The sequence below is a fragment of the Homo sapiens genome, chromosome 9 (genome assembly GCF_000001405.40).
Source record: "Homo sapiens chromosome 9, GRCh38.p14 Primary Assembly".
Classification (NCBI taxonomy): domain Eukaryota; kingdom Metazoa; phylum Chordata; class Mammalia; order Primates; family Hominidae; genus Homo; species Homo sapiens.
The window spans coordinates 35,005,237-35,029,003 of record NC_000009.12 but is presented as its reverse complement, the minus strand read 5'-3'; the positions used below and the strand labels follow the sequence as shown (position 1 = coordinate 35,029,003).

General features: G+C 42.2%; 1 long non-coding RNA gene and 1 pseudogene across 2 annotated transcripts; one reads left to right on the top strand and one right to left on the bottom strand.

The window, feature by feature from the left end:
* The first annotated feature begins 1,484 nt into the window (after positions 1-1,484).
* LOC105376025 (uncharacterized) lies at positions 1,485-17,506 on the top strand. 2 transcript variants are annotated; one of them, XR_929579.3, is made up of 4 exons: positions 1,485-4,480; positions 6,376-6,472; positions 14,066-14,239; positions 15,355-17,506. It is a non-coding gene; the product is annotated as an uncharacterized LOC105376025 (long non-coding RNA). The 2 variants fall into 2 exon arrangements; XR_929578.3 differs by lacking the exon at positions 1,485-4,480 and having other exon boundaries at positions 5,228-6,472.
* Positions 17,735-18,269, bottom strand: SYF2P2 (SYF2 pre-mRNA splicing factor pseudogene 2; annotated as a pseudogene).

The window sequence follows — 23,767 nt, the reverse complement described above, 5'->3', positions numbered from 1 at the left end:
ACAATGGCCCTGCTTCCACAGCTCCACTGGGCATTGCTCTAATACAGGTCTCTATGGGGGCTGCAATCTCACATTCCTGATTGTCATTACCTTAGCAGAGGCTCTCTGTGGTAGCTCTGCCCCTTCAGCAGGCTTCTGCCTGGACACCTAGGCTTTCTGATGCATCCTCTGAAATCTAGGTGGAAGCCACCAAGAGTTCTCCACCACTCTTGCATTCTGGGTGCCTGCAGACTTAACAACATGTGATAGCTGATAAGACTTATGGCTTGTGCACTCCAGAGCAGCATCCTGAGTGGCACCTGAGGTTCTTTGAGCTGTGGCTGGAGCCAGAGTGGCTGGGATGTGGGAGCAGCATCTCTAGGCAGCACAGGGCACAGAGCCCTGAGCCTGTCCTCCAAAAACCATTCTGTCCTCCTGGACCTCTTAGCTTGTGATGGGAGAGACTACCTATCTTCTGAAGTGCCTTTGGGGACTTTTCCCCATTGCCTTAACTATCAGCATGATTAACTTTTAGTCATGCTCTCTTGCAAGTCATCTCTCTTGCAAATGGTTGCTCCACAGCACCCTTGGATTCCTCTCCTGAAAATGCTTTTTCCTTTTCTATTACATGGCCAGACTACAAATTTTTCAAATTTTTATATCTGCATCCCTTTAAATTATAAATTCCACCTTTAGATCTGTGAAAGGTAAATAAATGTCAGACCTCAAAATCACTAATCCAAGGGGAAAGTCAAGCTAGGAACTGTGTCAGGAAAACCTGCCTCTCATTTTGTTTGTAAAGAAGATAGCTACAAAGATTAAAAAAAAAAAAAAAAGCTACATACCTCCCTCACAATTTTCCCACAGCAATTTTTTGTGGGCCTCAAGATCTTTACTCTAAAACAGTTCTGTTGAATTTCACCCGGGCAATGTAAACTGATAGCTTCTTTTCACAGGTGTGGGACAGGAAGTCATCCCTCTGAGACAAATGCATATCTGATTGCTTCCTCAGCCCTATTGTTTATGTAAAAATGCAGATTCACTGAGCCAGACTAAATTGTGTATTCAGTGAAAGGCTGATCAAGGATTCAAAATAATGAAATCTTTTGTTTCTTATCTACCTATGACCTGGAAGCCCCTGCTCCCCCAACTTCAAGTTGTCCTGGCTTTCCAGACTGAACCAATGTACATCTTACACATATTGATTGATGTCTCGTGTCTCCCTAAAATGTATAAAATCAAGCTGTACCCCAACTGCCTTGGGTACATGTCATCAAGTCTTTCTGAGGCTGTGTTATGGGTGTGTCCTTAACTTTGGCAAAATAAACTAGAAAAATTGATTGAGACCTGACTCAGATATTTTGGGTTCACAGTTTGGTAACCACGAAGGGATTCTGAGTGGAAGTGCCCCTGATCTTTGACAAATCTCCTTTTGGTGCTTGGTACTAGCTTGAGCTATCCTTATGACTCAAACCAATAGAACAATTTGCTGATGCCTGGGAGCTCCCTTCCCTCCAGAGAATCCCTGGTCTCTACCCAAATTTGTTTGAGATCTAATGTTTATTTTGCTGTACAACTTTTCTGGAGTTTTACTTGCTTCCAACAAGGAAGGCAAGTTTTCCTGCTTCCATGCTGATGGTGGGCAGGTAACCCCCTTCTGGAGTTTCAGCCCTCTTCCAAGAGGGAGGGTGAGTTTGAGCTTTTTCCCGCTTCTAGGATGGTAGAGAGCAGTCTTCAGTTTGAGCCCCATTCCTTGGTAAGTAGCTGAATTGGGTTTTTGTCTTGGCTAAAGTTAAGATTAACAACCAGCTAGTCTTAATTTCTCCTTATAATTAGAGTGCTCAGTAATTGTATAAATTGTGTGATCATTTGTTTGTTTTGCTTAACTGTTTTTTGTTTTGTTTTTTTGTTTCTGTTTTTGTTGTTTCTGTCTCACTTTGTGGAGTCCTAATTAGGGAAAAGGGGACAAGCTGGCGAGATCAGGGGAAAGCAAAGAGATAAAGCAGATAAGCTATAATAGGTCTGCCTTTCTTTGTGGCCCAGGACACAAACATTATCTGTGCAGATAATGTACAACTCACACTCTTCCTGCTTATCAGATGGTTCCATTTATCATCAAACACCTTGGCTGACAGAAATGTTGCAAGTTAGCTCCTCTGCAACCTTGTCATTATCAGTACTACATGTAGCACTCTGCAGCCCAAGAACCAGCTTATAAAATCTCCAGCAAGCCTTTGTTTTCTTGCAGTCACTTCCTCTCTTGCTGATTCTGTTACTGGAAAGGGGTCCCAATCCAAACCCCAAGAGACGGTTATTGGATCTCACGCAAGAAAGAATTCAGGGGGAGTCCATAAAGTGAAAGCAAGTTTATTAGCAAAGTAAAGGAAGAAAGAATGGCTACTCCACAGGCAGAGCAGCCCTGAGGGCTGCTGATTGCCCATTTTTATGTTTATTTCTTGATTATATGCTAAAAAAGGGGTGGATTATTCATGCCTCCCCTTTTTAGACCATATAGGGTAACTTCTTGATGTTGCCATGGCATTTTTAAACTGCCATGGCCCTGGTGGTAGTATAGCAGTGAGGACGACCAGAGGTCACTCTCGTGTCCATCTTGGTTTTGGTGGGTTTTGGCCGGCTTTGGCTTCTTTACGCAAACTGTTTTATCAGCAAGGTCTTTATGACCTGTATCTTGTGCTGACCTCCTATCTCATCCTGTGACTAATGCCTTCATCATCTGGGAATGCAGCCCAGTAGGTCTCAGCTTCATTTTACCCAGCCCCTATTCAAGATGGAGTTGCTCTGATTCACACACCTCTGATAATTCTGCCCATTGCTTTTTTGAAACATATTTTAATACTTTCTCTAATAAATATGCCTTTCTTTACCTACAACTGTCTTGGTAAATTTTTTGTTTTGTTTTGTCTTTTGAGACAGAGTTTCTGTCACCCAGGCTGGAGTGCAGTGGCATGATCTTGGCTCACTGCAACCTCTGCCTCCTGGGTTCAAGTGATTCTCTTGCCTCAGCCTCCCGAGTAGCTGAAATTACAGGCATGTGCCACCATCCCAACTAATTTTTGTATGTTTAGTAGAGACGGGGTTTCACCATGTTGGCCATGCTGGTCTCAAACTCCTCAAGTGATCCGCTGGCCTCGGCCTCCCAAAGTGCTGGGATGACAGGCATGAGCCACCATGCCCAGCCATGTTGGCCAGGCTGGTCTCAAACTCCTGACTTCAAATGATCTGCCTGCCTAGGCCTCCCTAAGTGCTGGGATGACAGGCATGAGCCACCACGTCCAGCCAAATTTTTTTTTAAAGGAGCTCAATGTTTAAAAGTCAGCTTAATTAAAAGCTAATATTCAAGGTGTGTGTGTGTGTGTGTGTGTGTGTGTGTGTGTATTTAAAAGGCCTTTGTGGTTTTCTTTTCTCTCCTAGGACCTTGTTTTGTTTTTTTCTTTTGTTCTTTCTTTTTTTTTTTGAGAAAAAGGTTTTTTTTTTCTTCTTAGTCAACTGAATTCTGTTTTCTTCATTTACTTCTGCTGTCTCTCCTTTCTCTTGCCACCCTCTGCTTCATGAGGAATCTAAAATAGTTTCTAACAGCCTGAGATTCCTTAAAGAAAACAGAGAAGGTGCCAGACTCCCTTTCGGGAAGAAATCTCTGTTTTTCCTTATGGAACCCCAAGAGTGTAAACAGGCGAGTTCATCTCAGATCTTAAACTGCTTGCTTTTGTATTGTGTTACCTGATTTTTTTTGACTAAAACAGTTATTACAACAGAGGTTACTCTTGGGTGTTTAAATCAAGGAAGAGTTTGGTTTAGACACTTAGAGAAATGTCTTTGTTAAAAAAAAAAGTGCACTGTAAAAACATCACATGGTCTAGCCTCATAATAATTGTCAGGCCTCTGAGCCCAAGCTAAGCCATCATATCCCCTGTGACCTGCACGTATACATCCAGATAGCCTGAAGCACTTGAAGATCCACAAAAGAAGTGAAAATAGCCTTAACTGATGGCACTCCACCATTGTGATTTGTTTCTGTCCCACCCTAACTGATCAATGTACTTTGTAATCTCCCCCACCCTTAAGAAGGTTCTTTGTAATCTCCCCCGCCCTTAAGAAGGTTCTTTGTAATTCTCCCTACCCTTGAGAATGTAGTTTGTGAGATCCACCCCCTGCCTGCAAAACATTGCTCCTAACTCCACTGCCTATCCCAAAACCTATAAGAACTAATGATAATCCCACCACCCTTTGCTGACTCTCTTTTTGGATTCAGCCCGCCTGCACCCAGGTGAAATAAACAGCCTTGTTGCTCACACAAAGCCTGTTTGGTGTTCTCTTCACGCGGATGTGACAGACATCTGGTGCCGAAGACCCGGGTCAGAGGGACTCCTTCAGGAGACCAGTCCCCTGTCCTCACCCTCACTCCATGAAGAGATCCACCTATGTATGACCCTGGGTCCTCAGACCAACCAGCCCAAGGAACATCTCACCAATTTCAAATTGGGTAAGCGGTCTTTTCACTCTCTTATCTAGCCTTTCTCACTACCCTTCAATCTCCCTGTCTTTCTAATTCCAGTTCTTTTTCCTCTCTAGTAGAGACAAAGTAGACACATTTTATCCATGGACCCAAAACTCTGGCGCCAGTCATGGACTCAGGAAGACAGCCTTCCCTTGGTGTTTAATCATTGTGGGGACGCCTGCCTGATTATTCACCCACACTCCATTGGCGTCTGATCACCGCGGGGATGCCTGCCTTGGTCATTCACTGACATTCCCTTGGTGGCAAGTTAGTTGCGGGGATGCCTGCTTTGGCTGCTCACCCACATTGCAGCCTAGGGCTGCTCCCCACCCTCCTTCTCCGTGTCTCTACCTTTCTCTTTAAACTTACCTCCTTCACTATGGGCAACCTTCCGCCCTCCATTCCCCCTTCTTCTCCCTTAGCCTGTGTTCTCAAGAACTTAAAACCTCTTCAACTCACACCTGACCTAAAACTTAATGCCTTATTTTCTTCTGCAATACCACTTGGCCACAATACAAACTCAACAGTAGTTCCAAGTGGCCAGAGAATGGCACTTTTGATATGTCTATCCTACAAGATCTAGATAATTTTTGTTGAAAAATGGGCAAATGGTCTGTGGTGCCTGACGTCCAGGCAATCTTTTATACATTGGTCCCTCCCTAGTCTCTGCTCCCAATGTGACTCATCCCAAATCTTTCTTCTTTCTCTCCTGTCTGTTCCTTCAGTCTCCACCCCAAGCTCTGAGTCCTTTGAATCCTTCTTTTCTACAGACCCATCTGACCTCTCCCCTCCTCCCCAGGCTGCTTCTCGCTAGGCCGAGCCAGGTCCCAACTCTTCCTCAGCCACTGCTCCCCCACCCTATAATCCTTTTATCACTTCCTCTCCTCACACCCGGTCTGCTTTACAGTTTCGTTCTGCGACTAGCTCTCCCCCACCTGCCCAACAATTTCCTCTTAGAGAAGTGGCTGGAGCTGAAGGCATAGTCTGGGTACATGTGCCTTTTTCTGTATCAGACTTTTCCCAAATCAGCCAGTGTTTGGGCTCTTTCTCATCAGACCCCACTAAATATATACAGGAATTCCGATATCTAACTCTGTCCTGCAAGTTAACCTGCAGTGACTTAAATGTCATCCTGACTTCCACCCTCTCCCCAGATGAACAGGAAAGAGTTTTTTCTCTAGCCCAGTCTCACGCTGACAACCGCTGGCTTCATGAGCCAGGCCTCCAGGAAGGCATCAGAGCAGTTCCCCGAGAGGACCCCCAAAGGAACTATCAGGCAGATTCCCCAGGTATAGCTAGGCGAGATTACATGATTTCCTGCCTAGTTGAAGGGCTTAAAAAGGCAGCACACAAAGCTTTTAATTATGACAAAATTAAAAACTACCCGAGGTAAAGACGAAAACCCAGCCCAGGTCATGGCCCGCTTAGCAGCAACCCTTAGACGCTTTACCGCCCTAGACCCAGAGGGGCCGGAAGGCCGCCTTATTCTCAATATGCATTTTATTACCCAGTCCGCTCCCGACATTAGAAAAAGCTCCAAAAATGAGCTTCCAGTCCTCAAACCCCACAACAGGACCTAATTAACCGCGCCTTCAAGGTGTACAATAATAAAGAGTTGCAATTACTTGCCTCTGCTGTGTGAGAAACCCCAGCCATATCTCCAGCACACAAAAACTTCAAAACGCCTAAGCCACAGCAGTCAGGCATTCCTTCAGGACTTCCTCCCCCAGGATCTTGCTTCAAGTGCTGGAAATCTGGCCACTAGGCCAAGGGATGCCCACAGAACTGGGACTCCTCCTAAGCCGTGTCCCATCTGTGTGGGACCCCACTGGAAACTGGACTGTCTAACTGGCCCAAGGCTCTGACTGACTCCTTCCCAGATCTTCTCGGCTCAGTGGCTGAAGACTGACGTTGCCTGATCACCTCGGAAGCCTCCTGGACCATCACAGACGCTTTGGGTAACTCTTACAGTGGAGGGTAAGTCCGTCCCCTTCTTAATCAATACGAAGGCTACCCACTTCACATTACCTTCTTTTCAAGGGCCTGTTTCCCTTGCCTCCATAACCGTTGTGGGTATTGATGGCCAGGCTGCTAAACCTCTTAAAACTCCCCAACTCTGGTGCCAACTTGGACAACATTCTTTAATGCACTCCTTTTTAGTTATCCCCACCTGCCCAGCTCCCTTATTAGGTCGAGACATTTTAACTAAATTATCTACTCCCCTGACTATTCCTGGGCTACAGCCACACCTCATTGCTGCCTTTCCCCCCAGTTCAAAGCCTCCTTCACATCCTCTCTTTGTATCTCCCCACCTTAATCCACAAGTATAGGACACCTCTACTCCCTCCTTGGCGATGGATGACGTACCCCTTACCATCCCATTAAAACCTGATCACCCTTACCCTGCTCAACACCAGTATCCCATCCCACAGCAGGCTTTCAAAGCATTAAAGCCTGTTATCACTCGCCTGTTACAGCATGGCCTTTTAAAGCCTATAAACACTCCTTACAATTTCCCCATTTTACCTGTCCAAAAACTGGACAAGTCTTACAGGTTAGTTCAGGATCTGCGCCTTATCAACCAAATTGTCTTGCCTATCTACCCCGTGGTGCCAAACCCATAGACTCTCCTATCCTCAGTACCTCCCTCCACAACCCATTCTGTTCTAGATAAACCTAGCTGACCCCATAAATCCTAAATTCTTTCCCCACTCCCCTTTCCATTTCTTAAAAAACAGCCCTAAAAGCTGCTCCCACACTAGCTCTCCCTAACTCATCCCAGCCTTTTTCATTACACATAGCTGAAGTGCAGGGCTGTGCAGTCAAAATTCTTACACAAGGACTGGGACCGTGCCCTGTGGCCTTTTTATCCAAACAACTTGACCTTACTGTTTTAGCCTAGCCCTCATGTCTGTGTGCGGCAGCTGCCACTGCCTTAATACTTTTAGAGGCCCTCAAAATCACAAACTATGCTCAACTCACTCTCTACAGTTCTCATAACTTCCAAAATCTATTTTCTTCCTCATACCTGATGCATATACTTTCTGCCCCTCTCCACTACCTCTCAGCAAGTCAAACTCATTGCCTTAACTCAAGCCCTCACCCTTGCAAAGGGACTACGTGTCAATATTTATACTGACTCTAAATATGCCTTCCATATCCTGCACCACCATACTGTTATATGGGCTGAAAGAGGTTTCCTCACTACGCAAGGGTCCTCCATCATTAATGCCTCTTTAATAAAAACTCTTCTCAAGGCCACTTTACTTCCAAAGGAAGCTGGATTCATTCACTGCAAGGGCCATCAAAAGGCGTCAGATCCCATCGCTCAGGGCAACACTTATGCTGATAAGGTAGCTAAAAAAGCAGCTAGCATTCCAACTTCTGTCCCTCATGGCCAGTTTTTCTCCTTCTCATCGGTCACTCCCACCTACTCCCCCACTGAAACTTCCACCTATCAATCTCTTCCCACACAAGGCAAATGGTTCTTAGACCAAGGAAAATATCTCCTTCCAGCCTCACAGGCCCATTCTATTCTGTCATCATTTCATAGCCTCTTCCATGTAGGTTACAAGCCGCTAGCCCACCTCTTAGAACCTCTCATTTCCTTTCCATCATGAAAATCTATCCTCAAGGAAATCACTTCTCAGTGTTCCGTCTGCTATTCTACTCCTCCTCAGGGATTGTTCAGGCCCCCTCCCAGTCCTCCCATTTCATTACCACTTGGCTAGCCCTGTGATTATTAAATTCTTTCTTTGCTGCCAAAAAAAAAAAAAAAGAAAAGAAAGGAATTTGGAAGTCTAAAATAGGGAAAAAGAGGTTTTATGAATCTATAAGATCTACTTCTACCTGCGTGTCTAATACATCTACATATTTATGTGTCATGTATATGATGTTTCATTACTAAAAATATATAAAAGAGCTTTAATTAATTGGCTTAAAGAAAAAAGCACTTAATCAAATACTTTATTAGAAAATTGAGACTTTAAACCAAGTGCTTTTTCAACTTCAAGTGACTTAAGTAAATCATTTTTTTTTTTTTTTTGAGACGGAGTCTCACTCTGTCCCCCAGGCTGGAGTGCAGTGGCACCATCTCGGCTCACTGCAAGCTCCGCCTCCCGGGTTTACTTATGCCATTCTTCTGCCTCAGCCTCCCGAGTAGCTGGGACTACAGATGCCTGCCACCACACCAGGCTAATTTTTTGTATTTTTAGTAGAGATGGGGTTTCACTGTGTTAGCCATGATGGTCTCGATCTCCTGACCTCATGATCCGCCTGCCTCGGCCTCCCAAAGTGCTGGGATTACAGGCGTGAGCCACCACACCCAGCCTCAACTTAAGTAAATCTTTAATAAATAAGCTGGTTTTAAAAATACTGGTGAAGTAGAATTAGAAATGGCTTCAGAATTGATCTCTGCTAGATGTCAACATTTGGCATGAAGGTTGTAAAGCTATGAATGTAGCCCAAAAGAGAATTGTTTATGTAAAATTTGATATATAAGGCATTTAATATTGTTTAGTTAATGAAAACAGCTAAATCCTGAATTTTTGGTAAACAAAACACCATTTATCTAATCTTAAGTTTCTTACCTAGGAAAATCTGAAATTTACAGATTATAAAAATGGTTAACCGTATGAAAAAAAGGTCAACATCACTGATCATTAGAGAAATGCAAATCAAAACCACAATGAGGCCAGGAGCAGTGTCTCGTGCCTGTAATCCCAGTACCTTGGGGGCCAATGTGGATGGATCACTGGAGGTCAGAAATTCGGGACCAGCCTGGCCAACATGGTGAAACCTTGTCTCTACCAAAAATACAAAAATTAGCTGGGCATGGTAGCACATGCCTGAAATCCCAGCTACTCAGGAGGCTGAGGCAGGAGAATTGCTTGAACCCAGTAGGTGTAGGTTTCTGTGAGTCAAGATCGTGTCACTGCACTCCAGCCTGGGCAACAAAGCGAGACTCTGCCTCAAAACAAACAAAACCCCCAGAAAACCCACAGTGATATACCATCTCATGCCAGTCAGAATGGCGATTACTAAAAAGTCCAGAAACAACAGATGCTGTCAAGGTTGCAGAGAAAAAGGAACACTTTTACACTGTTGGTGGGAGTGTAAATTGTGGAAGACAGTGTGGCAATTCCTCAAAGATCTAGAGGCAGGAATACCATTTGACCCAGCAATCCCATTACTGGGTAAATACCCAAAGGAATATAAATCATTCTGTTATAAAGAAAACGTGCATGTGTATGTTCATTGCAGCACTACTTGCAATACCAAAGACATGGAATCAACACAAATGCCCATAAATGATAGACTGGATAAAGAAAACATGGTACATACACACCATGGAATACTATGCAGCCATAAGAAGGAATGAGATCATGTCCTTTGCAGGGACATGGGTGGAGCTGGAAGCTGTTATCCTCAGCAAACTAACGCAGGAACAGAAAACCAAACACTGCGTGTTCTCACTTATAAGTGGGAGCTGAACAATGAAAACACATGGACACATGAGAGGAACAACACACACTGGGGCTTCTCAGTGGGAGGGAGAGCATCAGGAAGAATAGCTAATGGATGCTGGACTTAATACCAAGGCGATGGGTTGATCTGTGAAGCAAACCACCATGGCACACGTTTACATATATAATAAACCTGCACATCCTGCACATGTGCCTCAGAACTTAAAAGTCGAAGGAAATCAAAAACAAAAACAAATAGTTAACAAGAAAATAAGTTTATTTTTGTTGCTTTTTGTTTGTTTCTTTGTTTGTGATAAAGTCTTGCTCTGGCACCCCTGCTGGAGTGTAGTGGCATGATCACGGCTCACTGCAACCTGCAACCTCTGCCTCCCAGGTTCAAGTGATTCTTGTGCCTCAGCCTCCCAAGTAGCTGGGATTACAGGCATGCACCACTATGGCCTAGCTCATTTTTGTGTTTTTAGTAGAGGTGGTGTTTTGCCATGTTGGCCAGGCTGGTCTCAAACTCCTGGCCTCAAGCGATCCTCTTGCCTCAGCCTCCCAAAGTGCTGGGATTACAGGCATGAGCCACTGGGCTGGCCATCAGGGAAATAACTTTAAATGATAGCTATCACAGTTTTCATAAGTAATCTGGGTAAACTATTTTTAAAAATTAATTAGGTAAATGTAATGGAATAAATGCTTATAAATGATCTTATCATATAATTTAAAATCTAAAGTTATATGAAGTTAAATAATAGATATTCATTAAATGTCTGGGTCATTTCCTTTTAAAAAGTTATAGGAAAACATTTTTCTAAAAAAAGAAATGTGTTCTTATTTAAAGGAAAATAATTTTTGTCTAATTCCAAGGTTATTTAAAAGTTATTTATGAAACAAGATAAAGGTAGTCAGTAAATATGAGCAATGTAAAGAAAGTTACAAATATAAAGAGTTGTTTTTGGCAAGAAAGGTTAAAAGGAAAATAATTTTATGTAAGAAAGAATCTCGTGTGGTAAAATTTTGTCCTGAAATAAAATGACTGGTTATTTAAGAAAGAGGGATGTTTAGGATAAAACAGGAAGTCCAAGCATGTTGTAAATGATTTGTATCAAGTTGTCTGTAATTAAAGGGAAACTATTTATAATACTTTTTCTAGAGATTGGGTTTTGATCTAAAAAAAACAAACACTAAAGAATTGGTTAGAACAGCAAAATTTTCTTAAGGTATTGATTTACTCTTAATAAAATTACAAGAGATTTTAATTTTTTTTTTAGCCCAAAGTTCAACTTTTATTGCATTTTGCTGTTTTCAGCTTTCTCTCCCCTTTTAAAAGGCCTGAAATAATAACTCTCCTTCAACTCATTTTCAGCTCCTGTAAGTTTTTCTCCCCTCAGGTTCTAATTATTTGTTGTGGCCTGATGCTAAAAATGTTTTATCTTAAAGGTCTAAAGGAAATGTTTTCTTCTAACATAGTGTCCTGTGCTCTTGGCTTTAAATTGTTCTATGAATCTGAAAATTTTTACTTGTGACCCAGGAAACATTCTTCCTATGTCTAATTCAAGTACTATTTTCATTAGTTTTGACTTGCAGATTATCTAAATGGATTCCCCATAGGGAACAGAAATTACACTGCAGAAGGTCTTTGCTTTTGCCTTTTGGTAACTGGCCTAACAAACAGATTTTATGTTTTATTGAAATAATTCCTATATCATTACTATTAAGTTTTGGTTTGCTTAGAAAAAACTGAAAAAACATTCTAAATTAAAGTTATTGCATCCGTGTAACTTTCTGTATGTGCTTTTCAAGTTTTTGTGCCATTCAATTACAGGGTTTGACTCTTGAGTCTAAAAAGGACACTAAGTCCTGCTCAATCTTAAATACTGACAGCAGTTAAAGCCTCATCTTCAGACCTGGTAGAAGATGCCAATCAAAATAAACTGCTTTCATGAGACACAGGGCCAGAAATTAAACGTATTCGACTTCCCAAGGCTCAGGGACTATTGTGGAAGAGCTGGGTGCATGAGATTGTAAGGGCTGATGTTGAGAGATTAAATTAGTTTGGTTCTCTATAAACCTAACCATTAATGTCAAAGGCACACTGATGCAAAACCAGCATATGGCTGGTTTTTGAGCATTTTCTTAGAGCATTAGCACACTCCTTAAAAAAAGGTTATACAGGTTATAGAAAGGTTTATGGAAATTATATCTTACGGTCAAATGACTAAAATTTAGTAGATTTTGCTTATAATTTTTTTTTTGAGACAGAGTCTTGCTCTGTTGCCCAGGTTGGAGTGCGGTGGCACAATCTCAACTCACTGCAACCTCTGCCTCCTGGGTTCAAGCAATTCTCCTGCCTCAGCCTCCCAAGTAGCTGGGACTACAGGCACATGCCACCACACCTGGGTAATTTTTGTATTTTTAGTGGAGACAGGGTTTCACCATGTTGGCCAGGCTGGTCTCGAACTCCTGACCTCAAGTGATCCACCTGCCTTGGCGTCCCAAAGTGCTGGGATTACAGGCATGAGCCACCATGCCCAGCCTGTTTATAAAATTTTGAGAGATTTAGTTGTTCTTATGCTGTCTTTATTAGGGCTTATTGTTTAGGAAAGTAAGTCTCTTTTCTCAAAGAATAAAAGATTTTTCCTTTTTGAAATCTTTGAGTTATCATTTTGGCTAAAAAAAGAATTATTTTATAATATTTTACCATGATCCTATTTTGTGATATCAAGTGTTATATTTGACAAACTTTCCAAAATCAAATTCTGACTTTGCTTCCCTTAATTTTTTTTGATATTAGGTCTCCTGAAGTGCAAAAAAGACATATTTGGCTTGATATAAAATCATATAGGAAGTTTTATCAAATATGAAATGGTATTTACCATTTTTCAGATTCCTGTGATTGGGACTAGTCTTTTTTTTTTTTTTTTAAGATGGAGTCTCGTCCTGTTGCCCAGGCTGGAGTGCAGTGGCACGATCTCAGCTCACTGCAACCTCGGCCTCCTGGATTCAAGCGATTCTTCTGCCCCAGCCTCCCAAGTAGCTGGGATTACAGGCACGTGCCACCACGCCTGGCTAATTTTTGTGTTTTTAGTAGAGATGGGGTTTCACCATGTTGGTCAGGCTGGTCTCGAACTCCTGACCTCGTGATCCACCCACCTCGGCCTCCCAAAGTGCTGGGATTACACGCATGAGCCACCATGCCTGGCCTCGGATGAGTCTTAGTATATGTTGTCAGTAGTAATTATGCTTATCATGTAAAATTGTTGTATGCCACAGAAGTAACTAAATTTCCTTGTCAGTCCTGTCTAACTATGACTGTTCTAAGAGTTTTGTCATCCACAGTTGTTTTACTTTTATCCTTTTTTTTTTCTGAGAAAGAGTCATACTCTGTCACCCAGGCTGGAGTGCAGTGGTGCAATCTTGGCTCAATGCAATCTCTGCCTCCCGAATTCAAGTGATTCTTCCACCTCAGCCTCCCAAGTAGCTGGGATTACAGGTGCATGCCACCATGCCCAGCTAATTTTTGTATTTTTAGTAAAGATAGGGTTTTGCCATGTTGGCCAGGCTAATCTCAAACTCCTGACCTCAAGTGATCCACCCACCTCAGCTTTCCAAAGTGCTGGGATTACAGACATGAGCCACTGTGCCCAGCCTACTTTTATCCTTTTCAAAAGGTGATTTTATAAATAGCTATATGACTCTGACAGGTGCTTTTGAATGCAGGTTTCTGATAACTTGGGAGATTGTGACACTAGAATAGAGGAGAAACATCTAAGACTCCTGTAGACAGTTAATGTGTTCATAAACATTGAGCAGAACCGGAGTTAATTACATGGACTAAACTAATGGAAAACTGAAATAATCTTTTTATGACTTTGTTTGAAACATTGGTAATTCTTTTGTTTCTGAGTCCAGAAAACCCTTTTTCTTTGAGCTATTTACAGCTTTTAACAATTGGGTAAACTAAATTCCCGTGAGCAAAATCTGAAGCATATTCCTCTACCTGAATTCTCCAGAATTTGAAAACTATTAGCAAGTATACTTAATTTATAGCAGTCTAGTTATTTGCATAAGTTCAATAAGAATCTGTTTTCTTTTGTAACAGGATACAATTGAAGACACTGGTTATTTTACCAAGGCTTTGATTGGAATGGCTTACTTTCAGATATAAATCAACTGCTTTAAGGAATCAAAGTTGACTTACAGAGTCATAAAAGCCCCTTGGGAAAGCTGGCCTCATGCCTTTCCACACAGTTCCTGTACAGTTTCCTGACGTGTGGTAAGTAAAGCATGTCACTTTCTGGGCCAGCTGTGGTGCCTCATACCTGTAATCCCAGCACTTTGGGAGGCCAAGGTGGGTGGATCACTTAAGGTCAGAAGTTTGAGACCAGTTGGCCAACAGGCCAACAGAGCAAAACCCCATCTCTACTAAAAATAAAAAAATGAGTTGGGCATGGTGGCATGTGCATGTAATTCCAGCTATTTGGGAGGCTGAGGCACGAGAATCACTTGAACCTAGGTGGCAGAGGTTGCAGTGAGCCGATATTGCACCATTGCACTCCAGCCTGGGTGACAGAGTGAGACTTTGTCTCAAAAAAAAAAAAAAAGTCACTTTCTGATAGGCCCAGGAGACTCAAATTATCTTGGGAATTCACCCAATTAATACAGGTATCTGCAGGTACAGGCTAGGCTCAAGTCCAATCTGAAATTTCTTATGGAATAAAGTTCCAGCAAAGCCAGTTTTTTTTTTTTTAAAGAGCCTATATGGCAAATAATTTTTTCTTTTTTGAGACAGAATCTTGCTCTGTTGCCCAGGCTGGAGTACAGTGGCACGATCTGGGCTCACTGCAACTTCTGCCTCTGAGATTCAAGTGATTCTCATGCCTCAGCCTCCTGAATATCTGGACTACAGGCATGTGCCACCATGCCTGGCTAGTTTTTGTATTTTTAGTGGAGATGGGTTTTCTCCCTGTTGCCCAGGCTGGTCTTGAACTTCTGGCCTCAAGTGAGCCACCTGTTTCGGCCTCCCAAAGTGCTGGGATTACAGGTGTGAGCCACTGCGCCCAGCCAGCACATAATTATTCTTGCTGACTTCATGCAAATACACAGGCCAAGTATAATAAGACTAACACTTATTTTATGCATAAATTTGTCCTATGATTTGTATTTAGTGAAAATGGGGACTGGAGAGAGAAAAATTATTTTTCAAAGTGAACTATAGTGTACCTGTTATTAGATTCTAGTCTTGCCTAATATTTTTCAATTTTTATTATTTTCTAGTTTGGACTGAATTTAAAAATTTTGGGGGGGTACAGGTATTCAAAATAATATTTTCAATTTTTTTCTTCTTTCCTTCCTTTTTTTCCATTTTTTGTGATTTGAAATCACTAAAAGTTATGCTGTGCTTTCTTAAAACCCTGTGAACTGAAGCTACACAACTTAAACTTCAGAAGAAAATAACAGCAACCTATATGCCAGCCTACTGATGTATGAACTTCAGAGAAAAATGGCTCTATCTTTTCATTTGTTTGTTGTTTTCTTTCTTTCTGTCCCTATTTTCTGTTTGTAGAACATGATACTTTACAACCTGCTAAAAATGAGCTTTTCTAATAATGTGAGACCTACCTGTCTAGAATAGATCATCCTAGCTATAAGTGATCAGAAAAACCTGAGACTGGAGACTCATTTTCTTCTAAAATGCTCTTTCTGAAAGATTTTAAAAAGAAACAGAAAAAATGTGAAAGGAAAATAAATCTCGGATTCCAAAATCACTAAGCCAAGGGAAAAGTCAAGCTGGAAACTATGTCAGGCGAACCTACCTCCCATTTTATTCCTAAATAAGACAGCTACAAAGATAAAAAAAAAATCTCCCTCACAATTTGCCCACAAGGAAATTTCTTGTGGGCCTCAAGATCTTTACCCTGAAACAGTTCTGTTGAATTTCACCCTGGCAATGTAAACTGATAGCTTATTTTCACAGATGTGGGACAGGAAGTCATCCCTCTGCTCACCTGAGACAATTGCATATCCGATTGCTTCCTGTGCCCTATTGTTTATGTAAAAATGCAGATACACTGAGACAGACTAAACTTTTTTTTTCTTTTTCTTTTTTTTTTTTTTTTTTTTGAGTCAGAGTCTCACCCTGTCACCCAGGCTGGAGTGCAGTGGTGCAATCTCAGCTCACTGCAACCCTTGCCTTCCAGGTTCAAGTTATTCTCCTGCCTCAGCCTCCCATATAACTGGGACTATAGGCACATGCCCTCATGCCCGGCTAATTTTTGTATTTTTAGTATAGGGGTTTCTCTATGTTGGCCAAGGCTGGTCTCAAACTCCTGAGAGTGAGAGGTCCTGAGAGACCTCGAGTGATCCACCCGCCTCAGCCTCCCAAAGTGCTGGGATTACAGGTGTGAGCTACCATGCCTGGCTCAGACTAAATTGTGTATTCAGTGAAAGGCTGATCAAGGACTCAAAAGAATGCAACCTTTTGTCTTTTATCTACCTATAACCTGGAAGCCCACCCTCACCCCCATCCCACTTTTGAGTTGTCCCACCTTTCCTGACTGAGCCAATGCACATCTTACACATATTATGTCTCATGTCCCCCTAAAATGTATAAAACCAAGCTGTATCCCAACCACCTTGGGCACATGTCATCAGGACCTCTTGAGGCTGTGTCATGGGCGTGTCCTTAACCTTGGCAAATTAAACTTTCTAAATTGTTTGAGACCTGTCTCAGATATTTTGGGTTCATAGGTGATTCTTTTCCTGCTGGAACTGATTGTAAGCAGGTAAAAGCAGCCACGCCACTTCTTGAAGGCTTTGCTGCTTAGAAATTTCTTCCACCAGATGTCCTAGGTCTTTACTCTTAAGTTTGACCTTCTACAGAGTCCTAGAGCATGGAGACAATGCAGCCAGTTCTTTGTTTATACTAACAAGGTTTGGTCCAGTTCCTAATAAATTCTTAATTTGTATCTGAGATGTCAGCTTGGCCTTTACTGTCTATATTTGTATGAACATTTTGATCACAACCACTTAATCAATCTCTAAGAAGTTCCAAACTTTCCCTCAGGAAAAGTTTGCCCTGGCTGGTTTTGAACTCCTGGCTTCAAGTAATCCTCCCACCTTGGCCTCTCAAAGTGCTGGGATGACAGGCATAAGCCACCATTCTCAGCTGATGCCTTCCATTACTTGTTCTTGTTGAATAGCTCTGGTTAGAACTTCCATTACAATATTGAATAGCAGGGCATCCTTTTCTTGTTCCTGATCTTAGGGGGAAAACTTTCAGTATTTCATCATTGATATCCTGCTAGCTGTGGCTTTCTCATAAATGCTTTATATCGTGTTGGGAAATGGTCTCTTTATTCCTAGTTTTCTTAATTTTTATCATTAAAAGGTTAGATTTTGTTAAATACTTTTTCTGTGTCAACTGAAATGATCATTTGGTTTTTCCCCTTCATTCTGTTAATATGATGTGTTACATGGATTGATTTTCTTATGTGTAATCACCCCTGCATTCTTGGAATAAATTCCACTTGGTTATGGTGAATGATCATTTTAATTTGCTGTTGAGTTCAACCTGCTAATATTTTATTGAGGATTTTATCATCTATATTTATAAAGGATATTGGTCTGTAATTTTCTTTTCTAATGATGTCTTTATCTGCCTTTGGTATCAGGGTAATGCTAACCTCATAGAATTAGTTAGAAAGTTTTTCTCTGCTTCATTTTTTTGGAAGAGTTTAAGAAGGATTGTTGTTAATTCTTTAAATGTTTAGTAGTTGATATCTGCATCATCATCCTAAGGGTGTCTCCAGCTATATTCATCTCAGTTTTCAATTTGCTTTTCTGTCCTATCAGTTTTCTCTGTGGAAGGCAAATATGTTCCATGAAGAAGGCTGTTAGATGTTGTATAGAACTCCTCTCCATATTTTTCTCTTAGTTTTTAATATATTTCTATGTCAGGTTTGATCTGCTTGGTCAACAAATGATACTGGTGTAACTGGGAAGTGGCATAATGTAAAAATCCCAGATTGGAGTTTTTCCTTTTCCTCTCCCATCTTTCTGTATCTTTTCTCATAGTCTTTTTGTGAACATTCTTTTTTTTTTCTCCTTCTTCCTGCAATTCCCATTTGAAATGAGCCTTATTAACTTCCCAGTTTGCAGGTAGTTTTAAGTCTTTTATCGTCCTCCACAACTTCTTGGCGATTTAATTTCCAAGCTTCAGTCTCTTTCAGGTGCAGCTCCCAGAATTTGTGCAGTCTTGGTTCATGCTTCTGAGTGGCCAGCTCCTCAGCTGCTGCAAAAGCCTCCTTCTCCATGCTGTCCACTGACACCTTCTCAGCCATAGTCTCAGCTGTCCTATGGCAGTGCTTTTCTCCATACTGTACCCCCCAACTCCCCATTTTGATACACAGTTTTGCTGGGCATAGACTTTTTTCTCTTGTACTCTTAGTATGCCCATCCCCTGCCTTCTCGATGGCTCCTGATGACAAATCAGCTGTTAATCTTATTGAGGATCCCTTGTATGTGAAAAGTCATTTTTCTCTTGCCTCTTTCAAGATGATATTTTTCTCTTTGTCTTTGACAGTTTGATTATGTTGTGTTTAGGTGTGGATCTCTTGTTGTTTATCCTGCTTGGAGCTCATTGAGCTTTTTGGATGTGTAGATTAATCTAATTTGGGAAGTTTTCAAACATTATTTCTTCAAATATTTATGCCTTTCTCTTCTCTTTCTCAGGCTATTGTTATTTATTTTTATGTTCTTATACTTGAGGGTGTTCTACAGGTTTTATAGGTTTTGTTCATTTTTCATCATTCTTTTTTCTTTCTGTTTCTCAAATTGGATAATCTCAGTTTCTCAAATTGGATAATCAGTGAACCTTCAAGTTCACTGATTTTCATTCTGCCTTCTCAACTCTGCTCTTGAGCTCCTATCAAATTTTTCATTTCAGTTATTATACTTTTCAACCCCAGGGTTTCTATTTGGTTATTAAAAAATAATTTCTACCTCCTTATTGATAAGTTCTATTGAGTGAGCCATTATTTCCACACTTCTCTTAAGGTTTTTAGTCTTTTTTTTGTTGGCAACAGGTTCTTACTTTGTCATCCAGGCTGGAGCATAGTGGCTCATGGCTCATTGCAGCCTCAATCTCCTGGGCTCAAGCCATCTTCCCATCTTAGACTCCTGTGTAGCTGGGACCACAGGCAGGTACCACCATTCCCTGCTAATTATTTCATTGTATTTGTAGAGATGGGGTCTTCCCATGTCACCCAGGCTGGTCTCGAAATCCTGGCCTCAAGCAATTCACCTGCCTCAGCCTCCCAAAGCACCAGGATTACAGAGTGAGCCACTGCTTGGCCTAGACAAAGTTTTTCTTCGTTTTGTTTTTTTTTTTTTTTAACATATTTTAAATAGTAGATTTAGCTAGGCATAGTGGCTCACACCTGTAATCCTAGCACTTTGGGAGCCTGAGGTGGGGGGATTGTTGAAGCCAGGAGTTTGAGAACAACCTGGACAACATAGTGAGACCTTGCCTCTATAATTTTTTTTTCAAGGCTGACTTATAGTTTTTTTAGTAAATCAAATGTTTGGGCTTCCTGAGTCACTTTTTGTTGATTGCTTTTTTCCCTTCACGTGTGTATATAGGCCATTCTCTTTTTTGCTTTGCATGTCTTATAGTTGTTGAAAACTGGACATTTAGAACAGTATTTTCATGCGCGTCCATGTGAAGAGACCACCAAACAGGCTTTGTGTGAGCAACAAGGTTGTTTATTTCACCTGGGTGCAGGCAGGCTGAGTCCGAAAAGAGAGTCAGCCAAGGGAGATAGGGATGGGGCCGTTTTATAAGATTTGGGTAGGTAAAGGAAAATTACAGTCAAAGGGGGGTTGTTCTCTGGTGGGCAGGAGTGGGGGTCACAAGGTGGTCAGTAGGGGAGCTTTTGAGCCAGGAAGAGCCAGGAGAAGGAATTTCACAAGATAATGTCATCAGTTAAGGCAGGAACTGGCCATCTGGATGTGTACATGCAGGTCACAGGGGATATGATGGCTTAGCTTGGGCTCAGAGGCCTGACATTCCTGTCTTCTTATATCAATAAGAAAAATAAAACGAAATAGTGGTAAAGTGTTGGGATGGCAAAAATTTTTGGGGGTGGTATGGAGAGATAATGGGCGATGTTTCTCAGGGCTGCTTCGAGCGGGATTAGGGGCGGCATGGGAACCTAGACTGGGAGAGATTAAGCTGAAGATTTTGTGGTAAGGGGTGATATCGTGGGATTGTTAGAAGAAACATTTAGAATTATTGGTGATGGCCTGGATATGGTTTTGTATGAATTGAAAAACTAAACGGAATAAGAGAAGGAGAAAAACAGGTATTAAAGGTCTAAGAATTGGGAGGACTTAGGACATCTAATTAGAGAGTGCCTAAGGAGATTCAGCATAGTCCTGCCAGCAAAGATTATTCATTTACTTTAAGAGTTAAGAGTGGCAGTTTGGGGATAGCACCAATATCAGCTGTGATGGCTTGGAGAAACAGTGTAAACTGGCAGTGTAAACAAGAGCAGGGCATGTATGAGTAGTTGAGAACAGTGAATAGGAGTATGACTAGACAGAAGATAGTAGGGATGACAAGTTTTTTGGGGCACAGTCCAAGTTGGTCTTGTGTCTGGAATGAGACTGGGGCTTAATAAAAAGGAGCATCTATACAAGAGCTCAAATGGGCTGTACCCTGTAGTATTCTGAGGACAGGCCTGAATTCTGAGAACGGAGAGTGGTAAAAGTATTGTCCAGTCCTTTTTAAGTTGGTGGCTGAGTTTGGTGAGGTTTTAAAAGACCATTAGTCCGTTCTACCTTTCCTGAAGACTGAGGACTGTAAGGGATATAAAGGTTTCACTGAATACTAAGAGCCTGAAAAAATGCTTGGCTGATTTGACTAATAAAGGCCAGTCTGCTATTGGACTGTATAGAGGTGGGAAGGCCAAACCGAGGAATTATGTCTGACAGAAGGGAAGAAATGACAGCAGTGGCCTTCTCAGACCTTGTAGGAAAGGCCTTTACTTATCCAGTGAAAGTGTCTACTTAGACTAAGAGGTATTTTTGTTTTCTGACTCGGGGCATGTTGAGTAAAGCCAATTTGCCAGTCCTGGGTAGGGGCAAATCTCCGAGCTTGATGTGTAGGGAAGGGAGGGGGCCTGAATAATCCTTGAGGAGTAGTAGAATAGCAGATAGAACACTGAGAAGTTATTTCCTTGAGGATAGATTGCCATGATGGAAAGGAAATGAGAGGTTCTAAGAAGTGGGCTAGTGGCTTGTACTATAGCATAGCCTGCCTTTGCTGGTGTGTGGCCATTAGGCCTGGTGGAACTGCCATCAATAAACCAAGTGTGATCAGGGTGAGGAACAGGAAAGAAGGAAATATGGGGAAATGGGGTGAATGTCAGGTGGATCAGAGAGATACAGTCATAGGGGACAGGTGTGGTATCAGGAATAATGTGGGAGGCCGGATTGAAGTCTGGGCCAGGAACAGTGGTAATTGTGGGAGACTTAACAAAGAGTGAGTACAGCTGAAGGAGCCGGGGAGCAGAAAATATATGTGTCAGGTGTGAAGAAGAAAATAGATTTTGGAAGTTATGAGAACTGTAGAGAGTGAGTTGAGCATAGTTTGTTATATTAAGGGCCTCTAAAGTATTAGGGCGGCAGCAGCCACTGCACGGAGACAGGATGGCCAGCCTAAAACAGGAAGGTGAAGTTGTTTGGACAAAAAGGCTACAGGACGTGATCCTGGTCCTTATGTAAGAATTCTGACTGCACAGCCCTGCACTTCAGCTGTGGGTAATGAAAAGGGTTGAGATGAGTCAGGGAGAGCTAGGGTGGGGGCAGTCTCTAAAGCTGTCTTCAAGGAATGGAAAGAGGAGTGGGGAAAGGATTTAGAATCTATGGGTCAGCTAGGTTTCTTTTTGTGAGTTTATATAATGGTTTTGTTAGGATGGCAAAACCAGGTATCTAAAGTCAAAAGTATCTAACTATGCCTAGGAAGGAAAGGAGTTGTTGTTTTGTAGAAGGTGTTGGGGTTTGAGAGATCAGCTGGACATGATCAGCAGGGAGAGCACATGTGTTTTTATGAGAATTACGCCGAGATAGGTAACAGATGAGGAAGAAATTTGCGCTTGACTGAAGTAATGGGGGCTGTCTGTGAAGCTTTGTGGCAGTACAGCCCAGGTAATTTGCTGAGCCTGATGGGTGTCAGGGTCAGTCCAAGTGAAAGCGAAGAGAGGCTGGGATGAAGGGTGCAAAGGAATAGTAAAGAAAGCATGTTTGAGATCTAGAACAGAATAATGGGTTGTGGAGGGAGGTATTGAGGATAGGAGAGTATATGGGTTTGGCACCACAGGGTAGATAGGCAAAACAATTTGGTTGGTAAGGTGCAGATCCTGAATTAACCTGTAAGGCTTGTCTGGTTTTTGGACAGGTAAAATGGGGGAATTGTAAGGAGAGTTTATAGGCTTTAAAAGGCCTTGCTGTAACAGGTGAGTGATAACAGGCTTTAATCCTTTTAAAGTGTGCTGTGGGATGGGATATTGGCATTGAGCGGGGTAAGAGTGATTAGGTTTTAATGAGATGGTAAGGGGTGGATGATTGGTTGCTAAGGAGGGAGTAGAGGTGTCTTATACTTGTGGGTTAAGGTGGGGAGATACAAGGGGAGGATGTGAAGGAGGCTTTGAACTGGGGGAAAAGGTGGCAATGAGGTGTGGCTGTAGCCTAGGAACAGTCAGGGAAGCAGATAATTTAGTTAAAGTGTCTCAGCCTAATAGGGGAACTGGGCAGGTGGGGATAACTAAAAAGGAGTGCTTAAAAGAGTATTGTCTAAGTTGGCACCAGAGTTGGGGAGTTTTAAGAGGTTTAGAAGCCTGGCCGCCAATACCTACAACAGTTATGGAGGCAAGGGAAACAGGCCCTTGAAAAGAAGGTAATGTGGAGTGGGTAGCCTCCATATTGATTAAGAAGGGGACGGCTTACCTTCCACTGTAAGAGTTACCTAGAGCATCTGTGATGGTCCTGTAAGCTTCTGAGGTAATCGGGCAGTTTCAGTCTTCAGCTGCTAAGCCGAGAAGATCTGGGAAGGAGTCAGTCAGAGAGCCTTGGGCCAGAGTTCTAGGGGCTGTGGGACTGGTTGCCAGGTGAGTTGAACAGTCTGATTTTCAGTGGGGTCCTGCACAGATGGGACGCGGCTTAGGAGGAATCGTGGGCTGCGGGCATTCCTTGGCCTGGTGGCCAGATTTCTGGCACTTGTAGCAAGCTCCTGGGGGAGGCGGGCCTGGGGGAACGCCTGGCCACTGCGACTTAGGCGTTTGGAAGTTCTTTTGTGCTGGAGATGTGGCTGGGGTTTGTCTCACAGTGGAGGCAAGGAATTGCAACTCAGAAATATATTGCTACTTGGCTGCCTCTACTCTATTATTGTACACCTTGAAGGCCAGGTTAATTAGGTCCTGTTGTGGGGTTTGAGGGCTGGAATTTAATTTTTGGAGTTTTATTTAATGTCGGGAGCAGATTGGGTAATAAAATAAAATGCATATTGAGAATAAGATGGCCTTCTGACCTTTCAGGGTCTAGGGCTGTAAAGCGTCTCAGGGTTGCTGCCAAACGAGCCATGAACTGGGCTGGGTTTCTCATATTTGATGAAAAAGAGCCTAAACGCTAACTGATTTTGGGAGAGGTCGGATAAAGAAAAAGGAGCGTTAACCTTGACTATGCCTTTATATCCAGCCATCTTTTTAAGAGGAAATTGCTGGGCAGGTGGGGGAAGGCTGGTTGA